The sequence below is a fragment of the Homo sapiens genome, chromosome 7 (genome assembly GCF_000001405.40).
Source record: "Homo sapiens chromosome 7, GRCh38.p14 Primary Assembly".
NCBI classification, from domain to species: Eukaryota; Metazoa; Chordata; class Mammalia; order Primates; family Hominidae; genus Homo; species Homo sapiens.
In genome coordinates this window covers 73,579,126-73,598,566 of record NC_000007.14, presented here as the reverse complement: position 1 = coordinate 73,598,566, position 19,441 = coordinate 73,579,126, and the positions used below count along the sequence as shown (strand labels likewise).

At 49.2% G+C, this 19,441-nt stretch overlaps 1 protein-coding gene across 16 annotated transcripts in view, besides 3 other annotated features; it reads left to right on the top strand.

Annotated features, from left to right (window-relative positions):
- Window positions 1–5,365, top strand: part of MLXIPL (MLX interacting protein like) — a 54,706-nt gene extending 49,341 nt beyond the window's left edge. For 5 of the 16 annotated variants that reach the window (XM_047420437.1, NM_032951.3, XM_011516277.2 and 2 more), the window contains 9 exons: window positions 854–1,385; window positions 1,635–1,702; window positions 1,778–1,928; window positions 2,088–2,203; window positions 2,295–2,414; window positions 2,598–2,725; window positions 2,807–2,930; window positions 4,164–4,293; window positions 4,584–5,365. In XM_047420437.1, the coding sequence (XP_047276393.1) occupies window positions 854–1,385; window positions 1,635–1,702; window positions 1,778–1,928; window positions 2,088–2,203; window positions 2,295–2,414; window positions 2,598–2,725; window positions 2,807–2,930; window positions 4,164–4,293; window positions 4,584–4,702 (1,488 nt within the window). In that variant the 3' untranslated portion in view covers window positions 4,703–5,365. Of the gene's footprint in view, window positions 1–853; window positions 1,386–1,634; window positions 1,703–1,777; window positions 1,929–2,087; window positions 2,204–2,294; window positions 2,415–2,597; window positions 2,726–2,806; window positions 2,931–4,163; window positions 4,294–4,583 lie in introns of those variants that run through there. The other 11 variants (XM_047420435.1, XM_047420432.1, XM_047420433.1 and 8 more) reach the window with 8 other exon arrangements.
- Window positions 9,996–10,496: an enhancer, noted in NCBI's record as "H3K4me1 hESC enhancer chr7:73002401-73002901 (GRCh37/hg19 assembly coordinates)". NCBI's record gives its function as "activates a minimal SCP1, AML or CMV promoter by ChIP-STARR-seq in naive H9 embryonic stem cells {active_cell/tissue: H9 hESC(naive)}" and the evidence as "EXISTENCE:reporter gene assay evidence [ECO:0000049][PMID:30033119]".
- Window positions 10,497–10,997: an enhancer, noted in NCBI's record as "H3K4me1 hESC enhancer chr7:73001900-73002400 (GRCh37/hg19 assembly coordinates)". NCBI's record gives its function as "activates a minimal SCP1, AML or CMV promoter by ChIP-STARR-seq in naive H9 embryonic stem cells {active_cell/tissue: H9 hESC(naive)}" and the evidence as "EXISTENCE:reporter gene assay evidence [ECO:0000049][PMID:30033119]".
- Window positions 19,337–19,406: an enhancer, noted in NCBI's record as "active region_26125". NCBI's record gives its function as "activates an Ori minimal core promoter by ATAC-STARR-seq in GM12878 lymphoblastoid cells {active_cell/tissue: GM12878}" and the evidence as "EXISTENCE:reporter gene assay evidence [ECO:0000049][PMID:35858748]".

The window sequence follows — 19,441 nt, the reverse complement described above, 5'->3', positions numbered from 1 at the left end:
TGCTGGTGAATGGATAGATGCATCTTAGACTGCGGTGGAGGCACACGTGGGTTGGTGGATATATGGGTAGGTGAGTGGTTGGGTGGATGGGTGGGCTGGTGGATGGATACATAGATGAATAGTTTAATGGATTAGTGAATGGGTTCATTGGTGGTTAAGTGGCTGGAAATGTATAGATGGTGGATGGATGGAAGGATTATGGATGGGTTGGTGGATGAATGATGGAAGTATAGATGGTTGGATGGATTAGTTAATATGTTAATATCTGGTAGGCTGGTGGAGAGAGTGGTAGATGAGCTGGTTCATAGATTGATAAATAGGTAGGTGAATGGATGGAAGACGGATGGATGGAGAGATTGGTGGATGAAGTAGTAGATGGACAATTGATGAATGGATGGGTGGGTTGGTTAGTGGATGGATTGGTGAAGTTAGTGGATGGATGATGAAGGAATGGTAGGTTGGTTGGTGGATGGATCAGTGGACAAGTTAGTGGATGGATGGATGATGAATGGATGGGTGAGTTGGTTGGTGGATGGATTGGTGGACAAGTTAGTGGATGGATGGATGAATAAGTTATTTGGGAGACAAATGGACGGGCAGGAAGATTGATGCTCCGCTGTTCCTGCTTTTTGCATAAATGTACTCGACTCCCTCCTCTCATTGTAATTTCCCTGCTGCATGTATATGTTCGCACACCTGTGTGTGTTGGAAGGCAGGGCTCATTTCTCCTATCTCTCCCCAGGGCCCCAGTCTAGAGTTTGGCCAGGGCAAGGCAGGGCAGGGGAGGCCCAGATGGCTGCCAGGGGCAGCTCTCTCCCCTGCTCTCTGAGTGTCTGTCTGTCCCCCCAACCAGGCTCGGAACAGCTGCCCTGGCCCCTTGGACTCCAGCGCCTTCCTGAGTTCTGATTTCCTCCTTCCTGAAGACCCCAAGCCCCGGCTCCCACCCCCTCCTGTACCCCCACCTCTGCTGCATTACCCTCCCCCTGCCAAGGTGCCAGGCCTGGAGCCCTGCCCCCCACCTCCCTTCCCTCCCATGGCACCACCCACTGCTTTGCTGCAGGAAGAGCCTCTCTTCTCTCCCAGGTTTCCCTTCCCCACCGTCCCTCCTGCCCCAGGAGTGTCTCCGCTGCCTGCTCCTGCAGCCTTCCCACCCACCCCACAGTCTGTCCCCAGCCCAGCCCCCACCCCCTTCCCCATAGAGCTTCTACCCTTGGGGTATTCGGAGCCTGCCTTTGGGCCTTGCTTCTCCATGCCCAGAGGCAAGCCCCCCGCCCCATCCCCTAGGGGACAGAAAGCCAGCCCCCCTACCTTAGCCCCTGCCACTGCCAGTCCCCCCACCACTGCGGGGAGCAACAACCCCTGCCTCACACAGCTGCTCACAGCAGGTGAGGGCCAGCAACGGGGAGAGGAAAGCCTGGGGAGGGAGGCCAGGGGGTGGGGAGGACAGGGGGTTTTGGGAGCAGAAGATGAAGGTGAAGGGGCAGGTCCAGTTCAAGGGACAGAGTGGCAAGGAATGAGGGATGTGGGGCCTGTACCTAAAAGGGGTGTGGACTCTTGGGAGGGGCAGGATGGGGTCTTGATAGATGCCGGGGGTGGGCCAGCCCCAGTAGCCTCACGGTTCTGCCCGTGCACAGCTAAGCCGGAGCAAGCCCTGGAGCCACCACTTGTATCCAGCACCCTCCTCCGGTCCCCAGGGTCCCCGGTAAGATCTCGGGCACTGGGCGGTGGGGCTGTGCCCACGGCCTTCAACCCGACTCTCCGCCCTTCTCCACCCCAGCAGGAGACAGTCCCTGAATTCCCCTGCACATTCCTTCCCCCGACCCCGGCCCCTACACCGCCCCGGCCACCTCCAGGCCCGGCCACATTGGCCCCTTCCAGGCCCCTGCTTGTCCCCAAAGCGGAGCGGCTCTCACCCCCAGCGCCCAGCGGTAAAGAGAGGGGTTGCAGGGATTGGGGGAATCTAGGGGATGAGGGGAAGAGGAGGAAGAAGAAGGGGACTGGGTCTGGGGCCAGATGAGAGGAAGGGGGCAATGGGGACCCTTTCCCCTGGGTCGGTCTTTCTGTGGGTCTGTCTGTCCCTACCACAGGCAGTGAACGGCGGCTGTCAGGGGACCTCAGCTCCATGCCAGGCCCTGGGACTCTGAGCGTCCGTGTCTCTCCCCCGCAACCCATCCTCAGCCGGGGCCGTCCAGACAGCAACAAGGTGGGCACCATCCCCCACCCCAAGATCGGTTTGCTACCCCCAGGCCCTCCTGGGCTCCTTCCTAGGCTCACCCAACTCTCTGCTCCCCGAGACCGAGAACCGGCGTATCACACACATCTCCGCGGAGCAGAAGCGGCGCTTCAACATCAAGCTGGGGTTTGACACCCTTCATGGGCTCGTGAGCACACTCAGTGCCCAGCCCAGCCTCAAGGTGAGCCCCGGGCCCAGGCTGGCACCCCCAAAACCACAGGGCCCCTTTCTGGACCCCCCCCACCCAAAACTCAATTGCAGGGGAGTGCTCCAGACACTCTTGCCTCCTCCCATCCCAGTGCCTCAGTGGGTCCCAGGGTACAGCCTCTAGCACCTGCCTGAGCCCCCCTGGTGGCGTCTGCAGGTGAGCAAAGCTACCACGCTGCAGAAGACAGCTGAGTACATCCTTATGCTACAGCAGGAGCGTGCGGGCTTGCAGGAGGAGGCCCAGCAGCTGCGGGATGAGATTGAGGAGCTCAATGCCGCCATTAAGTAGGCAGGGTCCAGGCGGGTGCTGGGACCAGGGGGCCATGCCGCCTTACCCCCAGCCCCTGACCCCTGCCCTGCCCCCAGCCTGTGCCAGCAGCAGCTGCCCGCCACAGGGGTACCCATCACACACCAGCGTTTTGACCAGATGCGAGACATGTTTGATGACTACGTCCGAACCCGTACGCTGCACAACTGGAAGTTCTGGGTGGTATCCTCCCTCAAGCCCATGGCTGGGGGGCTGCAGGGGCTGTGGCAGGGTGAGACCAGGCTGGGCCTGGGATGGAGGCCTAGCTCTCCAGGCCGGGCAGGCTCAGAGCTGCTCCCAGGTGACAGGCTCTGGCTCTGCCCCCTGCTTCCATGCCCTGGCCATCTTGGCCAGCAAAATTGCCCAGGGATGGGGGGCTGGGAGCAGAGAGGGAAACTGAGGGAGGAGTCCTTGGGTAAGGGGAGCCTTGGCCCTGACCTCAGGAAGCCCCGAGGGCAGTTTGGGAGAATCTGAACTCTGGAGTGAGGACTACAGAAGACTTGGAATCCACTCCCTGATCTGGCTCAGGGGTCAAGTTCTTGACTGAGCCCAGGCAGGGAGCTCAGGGATGGGGGATGGTTCAGCACACAGTAAGGGCCGTGGAGGGGCAAGGAGGAGGGGACTGAGAGGCAGAGAGCTGGGAAGGTCTTGGCAGGACAGAAGTAGGGACTGCAAGCCAGGTGCGGTGGCTCACGCCTGTCATCCCAGCACTTTGGGAGGCCGAGGCAGGTGGATCACTTGAGGCCAGGAGTTCAAGACCAGACTGGCCAACATGGCAAAACCCCATCTCTACTAAAAATACAAAAATTAGCCAAGCGTGGTGGCATGTGCCTGTAATCCCAACTACTCGGGAGGCTGAGGCAGGAGAACAGCTTGAACCTGGGAGGTGGAGGTTGCAGTGAGCCAAGATTGTGCCACTGCATTCCAGCCTGGGCAGCAGAGTGAGACTCTGTCAAAAAAAAAAAAAAAAAAAGTCCGAGCACAGTGGCTCACGCCTGTAATTCCAGCACTTTAGGAGGCTGAGGTGGGTGGATCACGAGGTCAGGAGTTCGAGACCAGCCTGACCAACATAGCGAAACCCCGTCTCTACTAAAAATACAAAAATTAGCCAGGTGTGGTGGCGCACACCTGTAATCCCAGCTACTCAGGAGGCTGAGGCAGGAGAATTGCTTGAACCTGGGAGGCAGAAGTTGCAGTGAGCTGAGATCGTGCCACTGCACTTCAGCCTGGGTGACAGAGCGAGACTCCGTCTCAAAAAAAAAAAAAGAAGAAGTAGGGGCTGCAACATGAGTCATTGGGGTTCAACGTTAGACAGTGTCCAGGCCCTTTCTTCCCCTGGTTTGAACTGGGCATCAGGGCTCCACGTGGTGTGGGGGGACCAGCTGGACCACAGGCAGCTCCTTGACCTGGGCCCAGTTCAGCATCCTCATCCGGCCTCTGTTTGAGTCCTTCAACGGGATGGTGTCCACGGCAAGTGTGCACACCCTCCGCCAGACCTCACTGGCCTGGCTGGACCAGTACTGCTCTCTGCCCGCTCTCCGGCCAAGTACGTGAGCCATCTCCCTGCCTGCTAGAGGGACCCAGCCTCGGGGGTGGAGGGAGCATTCCACCCTGCTTAGATCCCACATCCAGCTTGCCATCAACACAGCCTAGGGTTGTGGCCACCCCGCATCCCCCAGATGGTCCTCTGGCCACCAGACGCCTGTAGACAGAGGTTCTAGGAGGGGGTGACAGTCTTGCCAACTAATACCTCCCCCTATCCCTTTGGTTCCACATCCAAGGGTAGGGCCCTGACCCCAGGAAGTGTCTGTCTCTCTCTCTCTGTCTCCCACCCAGCTGTCCTGAACTCCCTACGCCAGCTGGGCACATCTACCAGTATCCTGACCGACCCGGGCCGCATCCCTGAGCAAGCCACACGGGCAGTCACAGAGGGCACCCTTGGCAAACCTTTATAGTCCTGGCCAGACCCTGCTGCTCACTCAGCTGCCCTGGGGGCTGCTTTCCCTGGGCACGGGCTCCAGGGATCATCTCTGGGCACTCCCTTCCTGCCCCAGGCCCTGGCTCTGCCCTTCCCTGGGGGGTGGAGCAGGGTCCAGGTTTCACACTTGCCACCTCCTGGAGGTCAAGAAGAGCAGAGTCCCCGTCCCTGCTCTGCCACTGTGCTCCAGCACCGTGACCTTGGGTGACTCGTCCGCTGTCTTTGGACCGCTGTGTTTCAATCTGCAAAATGGGGATGGGGAAGGTTCAATCAGCAGATGACCCCCAGGCCTTGGCAGCTGTGACATTGGGGGCCTAGGCTGGCAACTCCGGGGGCTCAACGGTGGAAAGAGGAGGATGCTGTTTCTCTGTCACCTCCACTTGCTCCCCGACAGGTGGGGCACAGACCTCTGTTCCTGAGCAGAGAAGCAGAAAAGGAGGTTCCCTCTCTCTGCTCCTTCACTGCTGACCCAGAGGGGCTGCAGGATGGTTTCCCCTGGGAGAGGCCAGGAGGGCCTGATCCCAGGAGACACCAGGGCCAGAGTGACCACAGCAGGGCAGGCATCATGTGTGTGTGTGTGTGTGGATGTGTGTGTGTGGGTTTTGTAAAGAATTCTTGACCAATAAAAGCAAAAACTGTCTGCTGGTTTGTTGGTGTGCTGGTCAGTGTCTCACACTGGGATGGAGAGAGAGCCTGTTGGCAGTGGGAAGTGGCTTTGCAGAGGGCCTGGGCATTTACTCTGAGCTGGAAGCAGCTGGAGGGCTTTGAGTGGAGGTGGGACAAGATCAGATGTAGTGGTGGCGAGCGCCTGTAGTCCCAGCTACTCAGGAGGCTGAGGCAGGAGGATCGCTTGAGCCCAGGAGTTCGAGGCTGCAGTGAGCTATGATAGCACCACTGCACTGTAGAGTGGGCAACAGAGTGAGACCCTGTCTCAAATAACAACAACAAAAAAGGCTGGGCACAGTGGCTCACACCAGTAATCCCAGCACTTTGGGAGGCCAAGGCGGGAGGATCATAGACCTCATCTCAGTAATAAAAAAGAGAAAAATAAATAAAAGAAAATCGGATGTAACTTTTTTTTTTTGAGACGGAGTCTCGCACTGTCACCCAGGCTGGAGTGCAGTGGCCCGATCTCGGCTCACTGCAAGCTCTGCCTCCTGGGTTCATGCCATTCTCCTGCTTCAGCCTCCCAAGTAGCTGGGACTACAGGCACCCGCCACCACGTCCAGCTGATTTTTTTTTTTTTTGTATTTTTAGTAGAGACGGGGTTTCACCGTGTTAGCCAGGATGGTCTCGATCTCCTGACCACGATTGTGATCCACCCACCTCAGCCTCCCAAAGTGCTGGGATTACAGGCGTGAGCCACCGCGCCCTGCCAGATGTAACTTTAAAAAAAAAAATTTTTTTTTTTTTGAGACAGAGTCTCGCTCTGTTGCCCAGGCTGGAGTGCAGTGGCGCAATCTCGGCTCACTGCAACCTTCGCCTCCCGGGTTCAAGCGATTCTCCTGCCTCAGCCTCCTGAGTAGCAGGGATTACAGGTGCGCACCACCATGCCCAGCTAATTTTTGTATTTTTAGTAGAGACGGGGTTTCACCATGTTGGTCAGGCTGGTCTTGAACTCCCGACCTTGTGATCTGCCCTCCTCAGCCTCCCAAAGTGCTGGGATTACAGGTGTGAGGCTGCCGCGCCCAGACAAAAAAATTTTTCTTATAAGAATAGAGTCAGCAGCCGGGTGTGGTGGCTCACGCCTGTAATCCCAGCACTTTGGGAGGCCGAGGCAGGCGGATCACAAGGTCAGGAGTTCGAGACCAGCCTGGCTAATATGGCAAAACCCGGTCTTTACTAAAAATACAAAAATTAGCCACATGTGCTGACACACGCCTGTAATCCCAGCTACTCAGGCTGGTCTTGAACTTTTGGGTTCAAGCAATGCTCCCGCCTTGGCCTCCCAAAGTGCCAGGATTACAGGCATGAGCCATGGCGTCTGGCCAGATGTAACTTTTTTACAGGAATCCCCTGGGTGCTGAGTTGAGACTAGGTGGATGCAGGGAGACCAGTTAGAGGACAGTTGCAGTCATCCAGGTGAGAGGTGATAGATTTGCTTCCTGGAGCTCCTCCCTCCATGGCCAGGAGACAGTTTGGAGAGGCTCGCTACCTTCAGAGTTGGAAGAAGGCAGAGCTGGGACCAAGGAGTGGAACCGACAGGGCATCCACTGGAACCACCCAGAAGGAGAATGTGCTCCCTTGGCGGGGCAGGTATGGAGGGTAGTGACCTCCCCGCTATGAGAGGTATGCATGCAGAGAGTGGATGGCCACTTAGTTGGGATGTCTTAGAAAAAACTGACAGCGGCCTGTGCGGTTGCTCACGCCACCCAACACTTTGGGAGGCCGAGGCGGGTAGATCACCTGAGGTCAGGAGTTCCGGACCAGCCTGGCCAACTTGGTGAAATCCCGTCTCTACTAAAAATACAAAAAAAATTAGCCGGGCATGGTGGCAGGTGCCTGTAACCCAGCTACTCGGGAGGCTGAGGCAGGAGAATCCCTTGAACCCAGGAGGTGGAGGTTGCAGTGAGCAGAGATTGCGCTACTCCACTCCAGCCTGGGTGACAGAGTGAGACTTCATCTCAAAAAAACATAAAAACAAAAAATAAAAAAACTGATCCTTCAGATGGGGCTGGGGTAGAAGGCCTCAGAGGCCCCAATATTTACTGAGTGCCTGCTATGGACTAGGCTGTGGTCTTGGCTCTGCAGATGCTGTTCACTACAGTATCTCTCTCTTTGTGGAGCTGACATTCCAGCCTGGCATGTTGGAATCCTCTCACGTTTCAGACCTTCTGGAGACATTTGCAGGACTGATGTATTCATGTTTATTTTTCATAGAGACAGGGTCTTGCTATGTTGCCCAGGCTGGTCTCACACTCCCTACCGCAAGTGATCCTCCCACCTTGGCCTTAGGCTTCCTGAAGTGCTGGGATTACAGGTGGCAGCCACCGTGCCTGGCCCATTTGCAGGATTTAAACAGCCTAAAGTATCTTCCATAGGTTTTCAGTTTCTCTCGTTCGTGCATAAGAAGAAGGAGAATCGCTGCCCGCAGATCTAGTATGGACTATGTGCCAAGCACTCCTATAAGCACTTTAGATTTTTGTTGTTGTTGTTATTTTTATTTTTAGTAGAGACAAGTTCTCACTAAGTTCCCCAGGCTGGTCTTCAGCTCCCAAGCTCAAGGGATCCTCCTGCCTTGGCCTCCCAAAGTGCTGAGATTACAGGCATGAACCACCACACCTGGCCACTTTATGTATATTAACTCACTTAATCCTCACAACACCTACCTCGTAGGCTTGCTGTGAGAACCTAAAAGGGTAAATATACACATATAGAGATTTACAGATTTATACATATATTTATAAATCTGTAAAATGGGGATAATAATTATATATTATATATATATTATGTTTGTATATTATGTTTAATAATATACAAAGATTATATTTATACATTATATTTAATATATTTTTATATATTATATTATATTTATAGTTTATATAAAATATGTATGAGTTAATATATATTCTACATATAAAGATATAGATTATATATAAATTTTTATATAGAGAATAAAGATTAAATAATTATATGTTAATCTATATATCTATATAATCTTTTTTTTTTTTTTTGAGACGGCGTCTCGCTCTGTCACCCAGGCTCGAGTGCAGTGGCGGGATCTCACCTCACTGCAAGCTCCGCCTCCCGGGTTCACACCATTCTTCTGCATTAGCCTTCCAGTAGCTGGGACTACAGTTGCCCACGACCACGCCTGGCTAATTTTTTGTATTTTTAGTACAGACGGAGTTTCACCGTGTTAGCCAGGATGGTCTCGATCTCCTGACCTCGTGATCCGTCTGCCTTGGCCTCCCAAAGTGTTGGGATTACAGGCGTGAGCCACTGCGCCCAGCCATATCTATATAATCTTTATATATAATATATAATATTACATTAATTTATATATTACAATTTGTATAACCTATACAATCTTTATATACAATATACTTTATATATTATATATAATATTTATATACAATATACTTTATATATTATATAAATCTTTATATACAATATACTTTATATATTATATATAATCTTTATATATTATAAATATATAGTTTTATATTTATAATATATAAATATATTACATTTTATAACTATATAGTTTTATATTTATAATATATAAATATATTACATTTTATAAAAATATATTTTTATATTTATAAAACCATATAAATATATTTTTATATTTATATTAATAAAACTATATAAATATATTTTATATTTATATTAATAAAACTATATAAATATATTTTATATTTATATCAATAAAACTATATAAATATATTTTATATTTATATCAATAAAACTATATAAATATATTTATATTTATATCAATAAACATAAATATATTTTATTTTTATATTAATAAATATAAATATATTTTATTTTTATATTAATAAATATAAATATATTTTATTTTTATAATAAATATAAATATATTTTATTTTTATATTAAATATAAATATATTTTATTTTTATATTAAATATAAATATATTTTATTTTTATATTAAATATAAATATATTTTATTTTTATATTAATAAATATAAATGTATTTTATATTTATAATATAAATGTATTTTATATTTATAATATAAATGTATTTTATATTTATAATATAAATGTATTTTATATTTATAATATAAATGTATTTTATATTTATAATATAAATGTATTTTATATTTATAATATAAATGTATTTTATATTTATATTATAAATGTATTTTATATTTATATTATAAATGTATTTATATTATAAATGTATTTTATATTTATATTATAAATGTATTTATAATATAAATACATTTATAATATAAATATATAATAAATATAAATATATAAATATATAAAATATATTGTTTATAATATATAGATTATATATAATATATAAGTTAAATATATTATATTTAATTTATATCTAATTTATCTATAAATTATATATAATATATACTTTAACAAATAAAGTACATATTTGTTTATAATGTATAAATATATTATAAATATATAATATAATTTATTATATATTATAATTAATATAATTATATATTACGATATAAATACATAATTATAATATAGTATATATGTATAATATATAATATGTAATATATAATTATATATTATAAATATACAATATAATTATATATACGTATTAAATACATATAAATATAATTATATATAATAGATAATATATATAATTTATAATATATATCATATAAATTATATATAATATATAATATAATATATAATATAATATATAATTATATATTATAATATATATAATATATAGTTATTATTCAGAGTTAGAAGAAGGCAGAGCTGGAACCGAGGCATGGAAGCTACAGGGCATTATATATATTTTATATATATTATATAATTATATACATTATATATAATATATATTATAAATATATAACACTATGTAAGAATGAGAATGAGTTGTAATAATTATCAGCATCCCCATTTTACGGGTGAGAAACTGAGACACAGACAGTTTCGGTCCCTTGACTCAGCTTGCTGGGCTGGTAAGCAGCCCAGCAGTGCCCACCCAACTGCCTTCGTCTGCCGTTGGCCGCTTCTCTGCTGTGACGGTGGCAGGTGCGCCCAGCCTTTCACGCATGCTCTTTGCTGCTGCAGACAGGCTGGCCGTGGCTCACCGCAAGGGAGGGTCCAGGCAGTGTATACGCTGCTGTTTTCACTCCCACGCGGCCAGAAGTTCCCCATCAAACATCCCCTTGACCCCGTGTCCCTTCCAGATGGCTTCTTCCCTTGAAAGAGTCATCTACACGTGCTCACTCTCCCTCCTCTCTTCCCTCTCCCCTCTTGGCTCCCCACGTTTGGGCTCCTCCTCCACCCTCACACCCCAGCTTCACCCCTGCGCTGACTCTGCTGTCACTGAGCTCACCTCTGACTGACCCGCTCCTTGCGAAATCCAGTGCCTGCTTCATAGTGCTATTCTGGTTTTTCTGCGGCCCTTGGGCCTCCGTCTTAAACCACTCTTTCCCTGGGAGTCCAGAATTCTCGGCCAGGCTCGGTGGCTCATGCCTGTAATCCCAGCACTTTGGGAGGCCAAGGCGGGAGGATTGCTTGAGGCCAGGAGTTAGAGACCAGCCTGGGCAACATAGTGAGACCCCATCTCTACAAAAAAATTAGCTGGGTGTTATGACATGGGCCTGTACCCCCAGCTACTCGGGAGGCTGAGCCCAGGAGTTCGAGGCTGCAGTGAGCTATGATTGCGCCACTGCACTCCAGCCTGGGCGACAGAGAGAGACCCTGTCTCAAAAATACAAAAAACAAAACAGAATTCTTGCCAAGCTCTCCTTTCCTCCTCCCTGCCAATGCCCTCCCAGGTCCTGCTGTGTGAGCCTCTTTCTAGGCCTGTCCCTTCCTTAGCCATTCCCTTCTTGCTCTCTGGCAAGCCCCAGGCCATCTCATCCCCTTCAGCCTCTCTGCAGAGGACCCCGACTCTGTATCTGCCTCGCTGTCTCCCCAGAGCTACACAACTACATGTCCGACCATCACCCTAACTTCTCCCTCTGAGCGCTCCGCAGCTCCCTTAACACTGACGGATCCCAATACAGAACTCACCACTTCCATAATCTTCCCACTCAAACCTGGTCCTCCAAGTGTGCCCCAGCCCTGGCACAGGCACCACCACCCGGACACTTGTGCAAGCTGGAAACCATCATCTTCAGCTCCTCCACACACCCCGCTGCCCTGCGCTAGCTGTCACTGAGGACGGAAGCCTGGCCAATTGAACATCTACCTTCATAGCCACCGCCCTGGTCCAATAGGACATCGCCTCTTCCATACATGTGCATTAGCCTCCTGTATCCCTTACAGTGAACAGCTTCTCAAACTTAAACATGCATTAATTATTAATAATGTGGGCCAGGCATGGTGGCTCACGCCTGTAATCCCAGCACTTTGGGAGGCCAAGGCTGGTGGATCACCTGAGGTCAGGAGTTCGAGACCAGCCTGGAAAACATGGTGAAACCCTGTCTCTACTAAAAATACAAAAAATTAGCTAGGCTTGGTGGCAGGCGCCCGTAGTTCCAGCTATTCGCGAGGCTGAGGCAGGAGAATGGTGTGAACCCGGGAGGCGGAGCTTGCAGGCTTGCAGTGAGCTGAGATTGCGCCACTGCACTTGAGCCTGGGCGACAGAGCGAGACTCCATCTAAAAAAAAAAAAAAAAATTAGCCTGGCGTGGTGGGCACCTGTAATCCCAGCTACTCAGTAGGCTGAGGCAAAAGAATTGCTTGAATCTGGGAGGCGGAGGTTGCAGTGAGCCGAGATCACGCCACTGTACTCCAGCCTGGGCGACAGATGAGACTCTGTCTCAAAAACAAATAAAATAAAATAAACGTGGTGGCTTTACTTTTTTTTTTTTTTTTTTTTTTGAGACAGGGTTTCATCCTGTCACCCAGACCAGAGTGCAGTGGTGCAAACGCAGCTCACTGCAGCCTCAACCTTCTGGGCTCAAGTGATCCTCTCACTTCAGCCCCTGCCAAACGCTGGGATCACAAGCATGCACCACCAGGCCTGGCTAATTTTTAAATTTTTCGTAGAGACTCTACAGACTTTTTTTTGTCTTGTTATATTGTCCAGGCTGGTCTCGAACATCTGGCCTCAAGCCATCCTCCCACCTCTGCCTCCCAAAGTGCTGGGATTACAGATGTGAGCCACCATGCCCAGCCAGTATGATGTTTAGACATCAGCATCTTCAAAGTGATTCCAATATGGAGCCATGGTCAAGAACCACTGTAATAGAGGCTTTGAGCTGCAAATTACATGTAGGGGTTCAAATTAGTTTAAATCAGTGCTTCTTAAACTGTACCATGCATCAGGATTAACTAGAGAGCTTGTTAAGGATCAGCTAGAGGGCCAGGCAAGTGGCTCACACCTGTAATCCCAACACTTTGGGAGGCCGAGGCAGATGGATCACCTGAGGTCAAGGGTTCAAGACCAGCCTGGCCAACTTGGCGAAACCCTGTCTACTAAAAATACAAAAATTAGCTGGGTGTGGTGGTGTGTGCCTGTAGTCCCAGCTACTTGGGAGGCTGAGGCAGGAGAATCGCTTGAACCCAGGAGGTGGAGGTTGGAGTGAGCTGAGATTACACCAATATACTCCATCATGGGCGACAGAGCAAGACTGTCTCAAAAAAAAAAAAAAAAAAAAAAAAGTACAGCTTGCTGGGCCCCACCTCCAGAGTTTCTGACCAAGTAACAGGTCTGGGATGGAGTCTAAGAATCTGCATTCCTGGCTGGGTACGGTGGCCTGTAGTCTCAGCCACTCAGGAGGCTGAGGCAGGAAGATCACTTGAGCCCAGGAGTTTAAGGCTGCAGTGAGCTATGATTGCACCACTGCATTCCAGCCTGGGCCACAGGGTGAGACGCTGTCTCAAAAACAGAATTTGCATTCCTAGTGCTGCTGGTCCAGGGACCTCACTTTGAGAACCACTACTTAAACAAGGTGGAAAGTTACCATTTCACCTAATGTAGAGAGGCCAGAGGTAGGGAGGACTCCAGACAATACAAGTTGGAGCTCGTGTGCTTCAGTTGTTTCTTTGGCTACTGTTTGCCTCTGACAAGGCCAGGCTTCAGGGCAGGTGTTCGAGGTGCTTTGTGATCCAACCCTGCTTTCCCTCCAGCCTCATTTCTCTCCATAGCCTCCCTCCCCTCACATCCCTAAAAGTCTTCAATCTCCAGTGGTACCTGGGACTCATCTTGCTTTGCTCTTGAAAGGTGTGATCAACCCATGAGGGAGGCAAGCTTAGGGATTCCTGTCTCTTTTTCTTTTCTTTTTGCTTTTTTTTCTTTTGTTGGAGACAGAGCCTCGCTCTGTCACCCAGGCTGGAGTGCAGTGATGCAATGTCAGCTCACTGCAACCTCCACCTCCCGGGTTCAAGTGATTCTCCTGCCTCAGCCTCCTGAGTAGCTGGGATTACGGATGTGCACCACCATGACTGGCTAACTTTTTGTATTTTTAGTAGAGACAGAGTTTCATCATGTTGGCCAGGCTGGTCTTGAACTCCTGCCTCAAGTGACCTGCCTGCCTTGGCCTCTCAATTTTCTTTTTTTTGAGACAGGTCTGTTGCCTGGCTGGAGTGCAGTGGCATGATCATAGCTTACCCACAGCCTTGAACTCCTGGACTCAAGCGATCCTCCTCCTGCCTTAGCCTCCTGAGTAGCTGGGACTAGAGGTGTGCACCACCACACCTGGCTAATTTTTTTTATACAAATGGAGTTTTGCTACTTTGCCCAGGCTGGTCTCAAACTCCTGGCCTCAAGTGATCCTCCTGCCTCAGCCTCCCACAGGCTGCGATTATAGGCATGAGTCGCTGTGCCTGGCCTCCTGTCTCCTTATTTACTTCTATTTTTTTTTCTTTTGATGGAGTCTTGTTCTGTCGCCCAGGCTGGAGTGCAGTGGCACAATCTTGGCTCATTGCAACCTCTTCCTCCTGGGTTCAAGTGATTCTCCCACCTCAGTCTCCTGAGTAGCTGGGACTACAGGCGCGTACCACCACGCCTGGCTAATTTTTGTATTTTTAGTAGAGACAAGGTTTCACCATATTGGTCAGGCTGGTCTTGAACTCCTGACCTCAAGATGATCCACCCACCTCGGCCTCCCAAAGTGCTGGGATTACAGGCATGAGCCACCGTGCCCAGTCAGAATCAGTTACTTCCACCTCCGTACCTCGGCTGGTTCTCGCTTTCCATGTAGCACTCCCTCGTGCTGTTTCACCTGTCTAAATGCCCATCCCTGAAGCTACAGTCAAGTCTCACTGCCCCTCAAGATCCATTGGCAAGTCCCCTGCTTCCTGATGCATTCAGCTTTCCTGAGTCCCGCTGTGTGTCCTCAGTTGTCCTTCCACGTATCAGTCTTGGCTTCCAACTGGGCTACATAAAACTTGAGAGTAAGAGCAAGGCCACGCCACAGCCAGAGTGGCTTGCTGGGAGGAGCATGGATTTTTTTTTTTTCTTTTTTGAGACAGGATCTCACTCTGTAGCCCAGGCTGGAGTGCAGTGGTGTGATCACAGCTCACTGCAGCCTCAAACTCCTGGGCTCAAGCAATCCTCCTGCCTCAGCCTCCTGAGTAGCTGGGACTACAGGCATGCACCACCACGCCTAATTTTTTTACTTTGTAGAGATGGGGTCTCACTTTGTTGGCCAGGCTGGTCTCAAATTCCTGGGCTCAGGTGATTCTCCTGCCTCAGCTTCCCACAGTGCTGGGATTACAGGCGTGAGCCACAGTGCCCTGCCCGAGTATGGATCCTGTAGTAGACCTGGGTTATTTCCCTTGCTTCCTTGTTGACCTTGGGCATATTATTTGATGTAAGCCTAGTGTTTCTCTCCATCTGCTTAAAAATTAAAATTATAACATGGCCTGTCTTAAAGGCCAACTGAATTCAAGGATATGAAAGAATTTGGTAGCCTCAACTGAGCTGTACAAAGAGAGGCTACTCTTTCTTCCTCTTACCCCACATCCACAGATTGCAGCCAGACAGGACATGTATTTGTCCCCAGGCTCACTCTCCACCTGTATGACCTTGGGAAAGTCACTTAACTTCCTAAAGCATCAGTCTCCTCATCTGTGAGAAGGGAATGTGAGCAAGTGAAATGAAACGCAAAGCTCCTGGATCAAACAGGTGCAGTGGCTCACTCCTGTAATCCCAGCAATTTGGGAGGTTGAGGGCGGGAGGATTGCTTGAGGCCAGGAGTTCTAGAGACCAGCCTGGGCAACATAGCAAGACCCTGTCTCTACAGAAAATTCAAAAATTAGCTGGGTGTGGTGGTGAGCACCTATGGTTCCAGCTACTTGGGAGGATGTGGTGGGAGGATTGCTTGAGCCCAGGAGTTTCAGGCTGCAATCAGCTGTGATTGCGCCACTGCACTCCAGCCTGGGCGACACAGTGAGACTCTCTTTATTAAAAAAATGCTCCTGGATCAATAAATGTCACATGCAAAATGCTTGGTAAATGAAATTCTTCTTAAAAGTGCATCTTTGGCCAGGCTTGGTGGCTCACGCCTTTAATCCCAGCACTTTGGGAGGTTGAGGCGGGAGGATCACTTGAGTTCAGGAGTTCGAGACCAGCCTGAGTAACATGGTGAAACCTTGTCTCTACAAAACACACACACAAAAATTAGCTGGGTGTGATGGTGCATGCCTGTAGTCCTAGCTACTTGGGAGCTGAGGCAGGATGATCGATTGAGGCAGAAGGATCACTTGAGCCCGGGAGGCGGAAGTTGCAGTGAGCCGAGATCATGCCATTGCATTCCAGCCTGGGCAACACAGTGAGACTCTGTCTCAAAATAAATAAATAAATAAATACTTTGAAAAGTGTAGCTTGTCTGTAGATGGTGTGAAGAAAGTGGCTTATGGCTGGGCCCACAGTCCTAAGTAGCAAGATAGGGAGGACAAGCCTCAGGATGCTCTAGACACCCCCTCGCACCCCTCCCTACCCCACTGCCCACAGCTGAGTCAATGCCAGTTTCCCGCAAAGGACAAAAGGGAAGGAAATGAGGCTGCTCCATTTGCTCTCTGACTGGATCCATTTCCTCCCCCAAGATTGTGGGTGTGTCTGTCTGTCATCTAGCCTCTGCAGCGGCCACTGTTCTCAGAGGGTCCTTTATTGCCGAAGGGCCTGGACTGTCAGGAAGGCAGGCTCCTGGGTGGGGATGGAAATGTTTGCAGCAGGAATCTCCAACTCTGGTACTTCGACTCACTCTGGGCTTTGGGACTGGGACACCCACGGAGCATGACTGTTCAACCCAAATTCTACCAATAAGTCTTTCAGATTGTCTCCTTGTTGGTGGAATTTGAATAAGTTCTGTAGATAGCATCAATGTCAAGTTCCTGGTTTTGATATTACACTGCAGTTATGCAAGATGTTACTACTGGAGGAAACTGAGAGGAAGAGTCCATGAGACCTCCCTGTTCACTTTTTCAAACCACTGTGCATCTTTATATCTTTTTTTTTTTTTTTTTTTTTTTTTGAGACAGGGTCTTACTCTGTTGCTCAGGCTGCAGTGCAGTGGCACGATCACAGCTCACTACAGCCTCGACCTCCCGGACTCAGGTGATTCTGCCACCTCAGCCTGCCAGTTAGCTGGGGCTATAGGCACATGTCACCATGTCTGGCTAATTTTTTTTTTTTTGAGACGGAATCTCACTCTGTCGCCCCAGCTGGAATGCAGTGGCACAATCTTGGCTCACTGCAACCTCCGCCTCCCAGGTTCAAGCGATTCTCCTGCCTCAGCCTCCTGAGTAGCTAGGATTACAGGTGCGCACCACTATGCCAGGCTAATTTTTGTATTTTTAGTAGAGACAGGGTTTCACCATGTTAGCCAGGCTGGTCTCGAACTCCTGACCTCAGGTGGTCCGCCTGCCTCAGCCTCCCAAAGTGCTAGGATTACAGGCATGAGCCACCGTGCCCAGCCTTAACTTTTTTTTTTTTTTTTTTGAAACGGAGTCTCACCCTCACCCAGGCTGCAGTGCAGTGATGCAATCACGGCTCACTGCAAAACCACCTCCCGGGTCCAAGTGATCCTTCTGCCTCAGCCTCCCAAGTAGCTGGGACCACAGGCATGTGCCACCACGCTCGTCTAATTTTTGTAGTTTTTGGTAGAGACGGGGTTTCACTATGTTGCTCAGGCTGGGCTCAAGCTCCTGGGCTAAAATCTGGGCCTCCCAAAGTGGTGGGATTACAGGTGTGAGCAATCACACCCAGCCTATTTATTTATTTTATAGAGATGGGGTCTTGCTATGTTGCCCAGACTGGTCTTGAACTGCTAGGCTCAAGCAATCTTCCCACCTTGGCCTCCCAAAGTGTTGGGGATCACAGGCTTTAGCCACTGTGCCTGGCGGCTGTAATTATTTTAAAAGAAGTTTTCTTCTTTCTTTCTTTTTTTATTTATTTTATATTTATTTTTGAGATGGAGTCTCACTCTTATCACCCAAGCCGGAGTGCAGTGGAGCAATCTTGGCTCACTGCAACCTCTGCCTCCCAGGTTCAAGTGATTCTCCTGCCTCAGCCTCCCGAGTAGCTGGGATTAGAGGCGTGGGACACCACGCCCAGCTAATTTTTGTACTTTTGGTAGAGACGGGGTTTCGCCATGTTGGCCAGAGACGGGGTTTCACCATGTTGGCCAGGCTGGTCTCGAAGTCCTGACCTCAGGTGATCCTCCCGCCTCGGCCTCCCAAAGTGCTGGGATTACAGGCATGGGCCACCGCACCCGGCCTTAAAAGAAGTTTTCTGGCCGGGCGCGGTGGCTCAAGCCTGTAATCCCCCAAGCACTTTGGGAGGCCGAGGCGGGCAGATCATGAGGTCAGGAGATCGAGACCATCCTGGCTAACACGGTGAAATCCCGTCTCTACTAAAAATATTTTTAAAAAATTAGCCGGGCGTGGTGGCGGGCGCCTGTAATCCCAGCTACTCGGGAGGCTGAGGCAGGAGAATGGCATAAACCCAGGAGGCGGAGGTTGCAGTGAGCCGAGATCGCGCCACTGCGCTCCAACCTGGGCAATAGAGCAAGACTCTGTCTCAAAAAAAAAAATAAGTTTTCTATGAAAAAATTTCCTGGTCTGGGCCAGTCGCGGTGGCTCACACCTGTAATCCCAGCACTTTGAGAGGCTGAGGCGGGCGGATCACGAGGTCAGGAGTTCAAGACCAGCCTGACCAATATAGCGAAACCCCGTCTCTACTAAAAAATACAAAAAATTAGCGGGGCATGCTAGCGGGCACCCGTAATCCCAGCTACTCGGGAGGCTGAGGCAAGCGAATCGCTTGAACCCGGGAGGCAGAGGTTGCAGTGAGCAGAGATGGCGCCATTGCACTCCAGCCTGGGCGACAGTGCAACGAGACTCCATCTCAAAAAATAAAAAATAAAAATAATCTCCCAGCTCGGCATGGTGGCTCACGCCTGTAATCCCAGCACTTTGGGAGGCCGAAGCAGGTGGATCACCTGAGGTCAGGAGTTCGAGACCAGCCTGGCCAACATGGCAAAACCCCCGTCTCTATAAAAAACACAAAAAGTAGCAGGGCATGGTGGCACGCGCCTGTAATCCCAGCTACTCTGGAGGCTGAGGCAGGAGAATCTCTTGCACCCGGGAGACGGAGGTTGCAGTGAGCCGAGACGCGTCACTGCACTCCAACCTGGGCAACCGTCTCAAAAGTAAATACATAAATAAATAAATAAAATAAGTTTTCTATTAAAAATTCTCCCTTTTAACTTTCGACTTGCCAGGCCAGCCCCAAATCCAGGCCCTCGTCACCTCCCTCTCGGATCCTTGAAGCCACTGCCGGTTTTCTGATTTTGGTCTTTTCACACAAAGGTCCATCCAGGGAATCCTCAGACACAGCTTTTGCCCCACCTCTCCCTGTAATGAGCAGCTTGTTGGATGGAGCCAGCGCTCAACGTCCCCCAGACCTTTCCGCCCCTCTAGCCATTTCCCACATCCCAGCTTCTCAGGTCTTTGCGGAGGCTGTTCCACTCCACGCGCCTGGCCTACTCTTCCTTAAAAGCCCATCTGAACTTTCGCTGATGCTGAGTTTCCTATCCGTTAAATGGTAATAATAATCCCCGCCCCGCTTCCTTGAAAGGATCCAGTGTG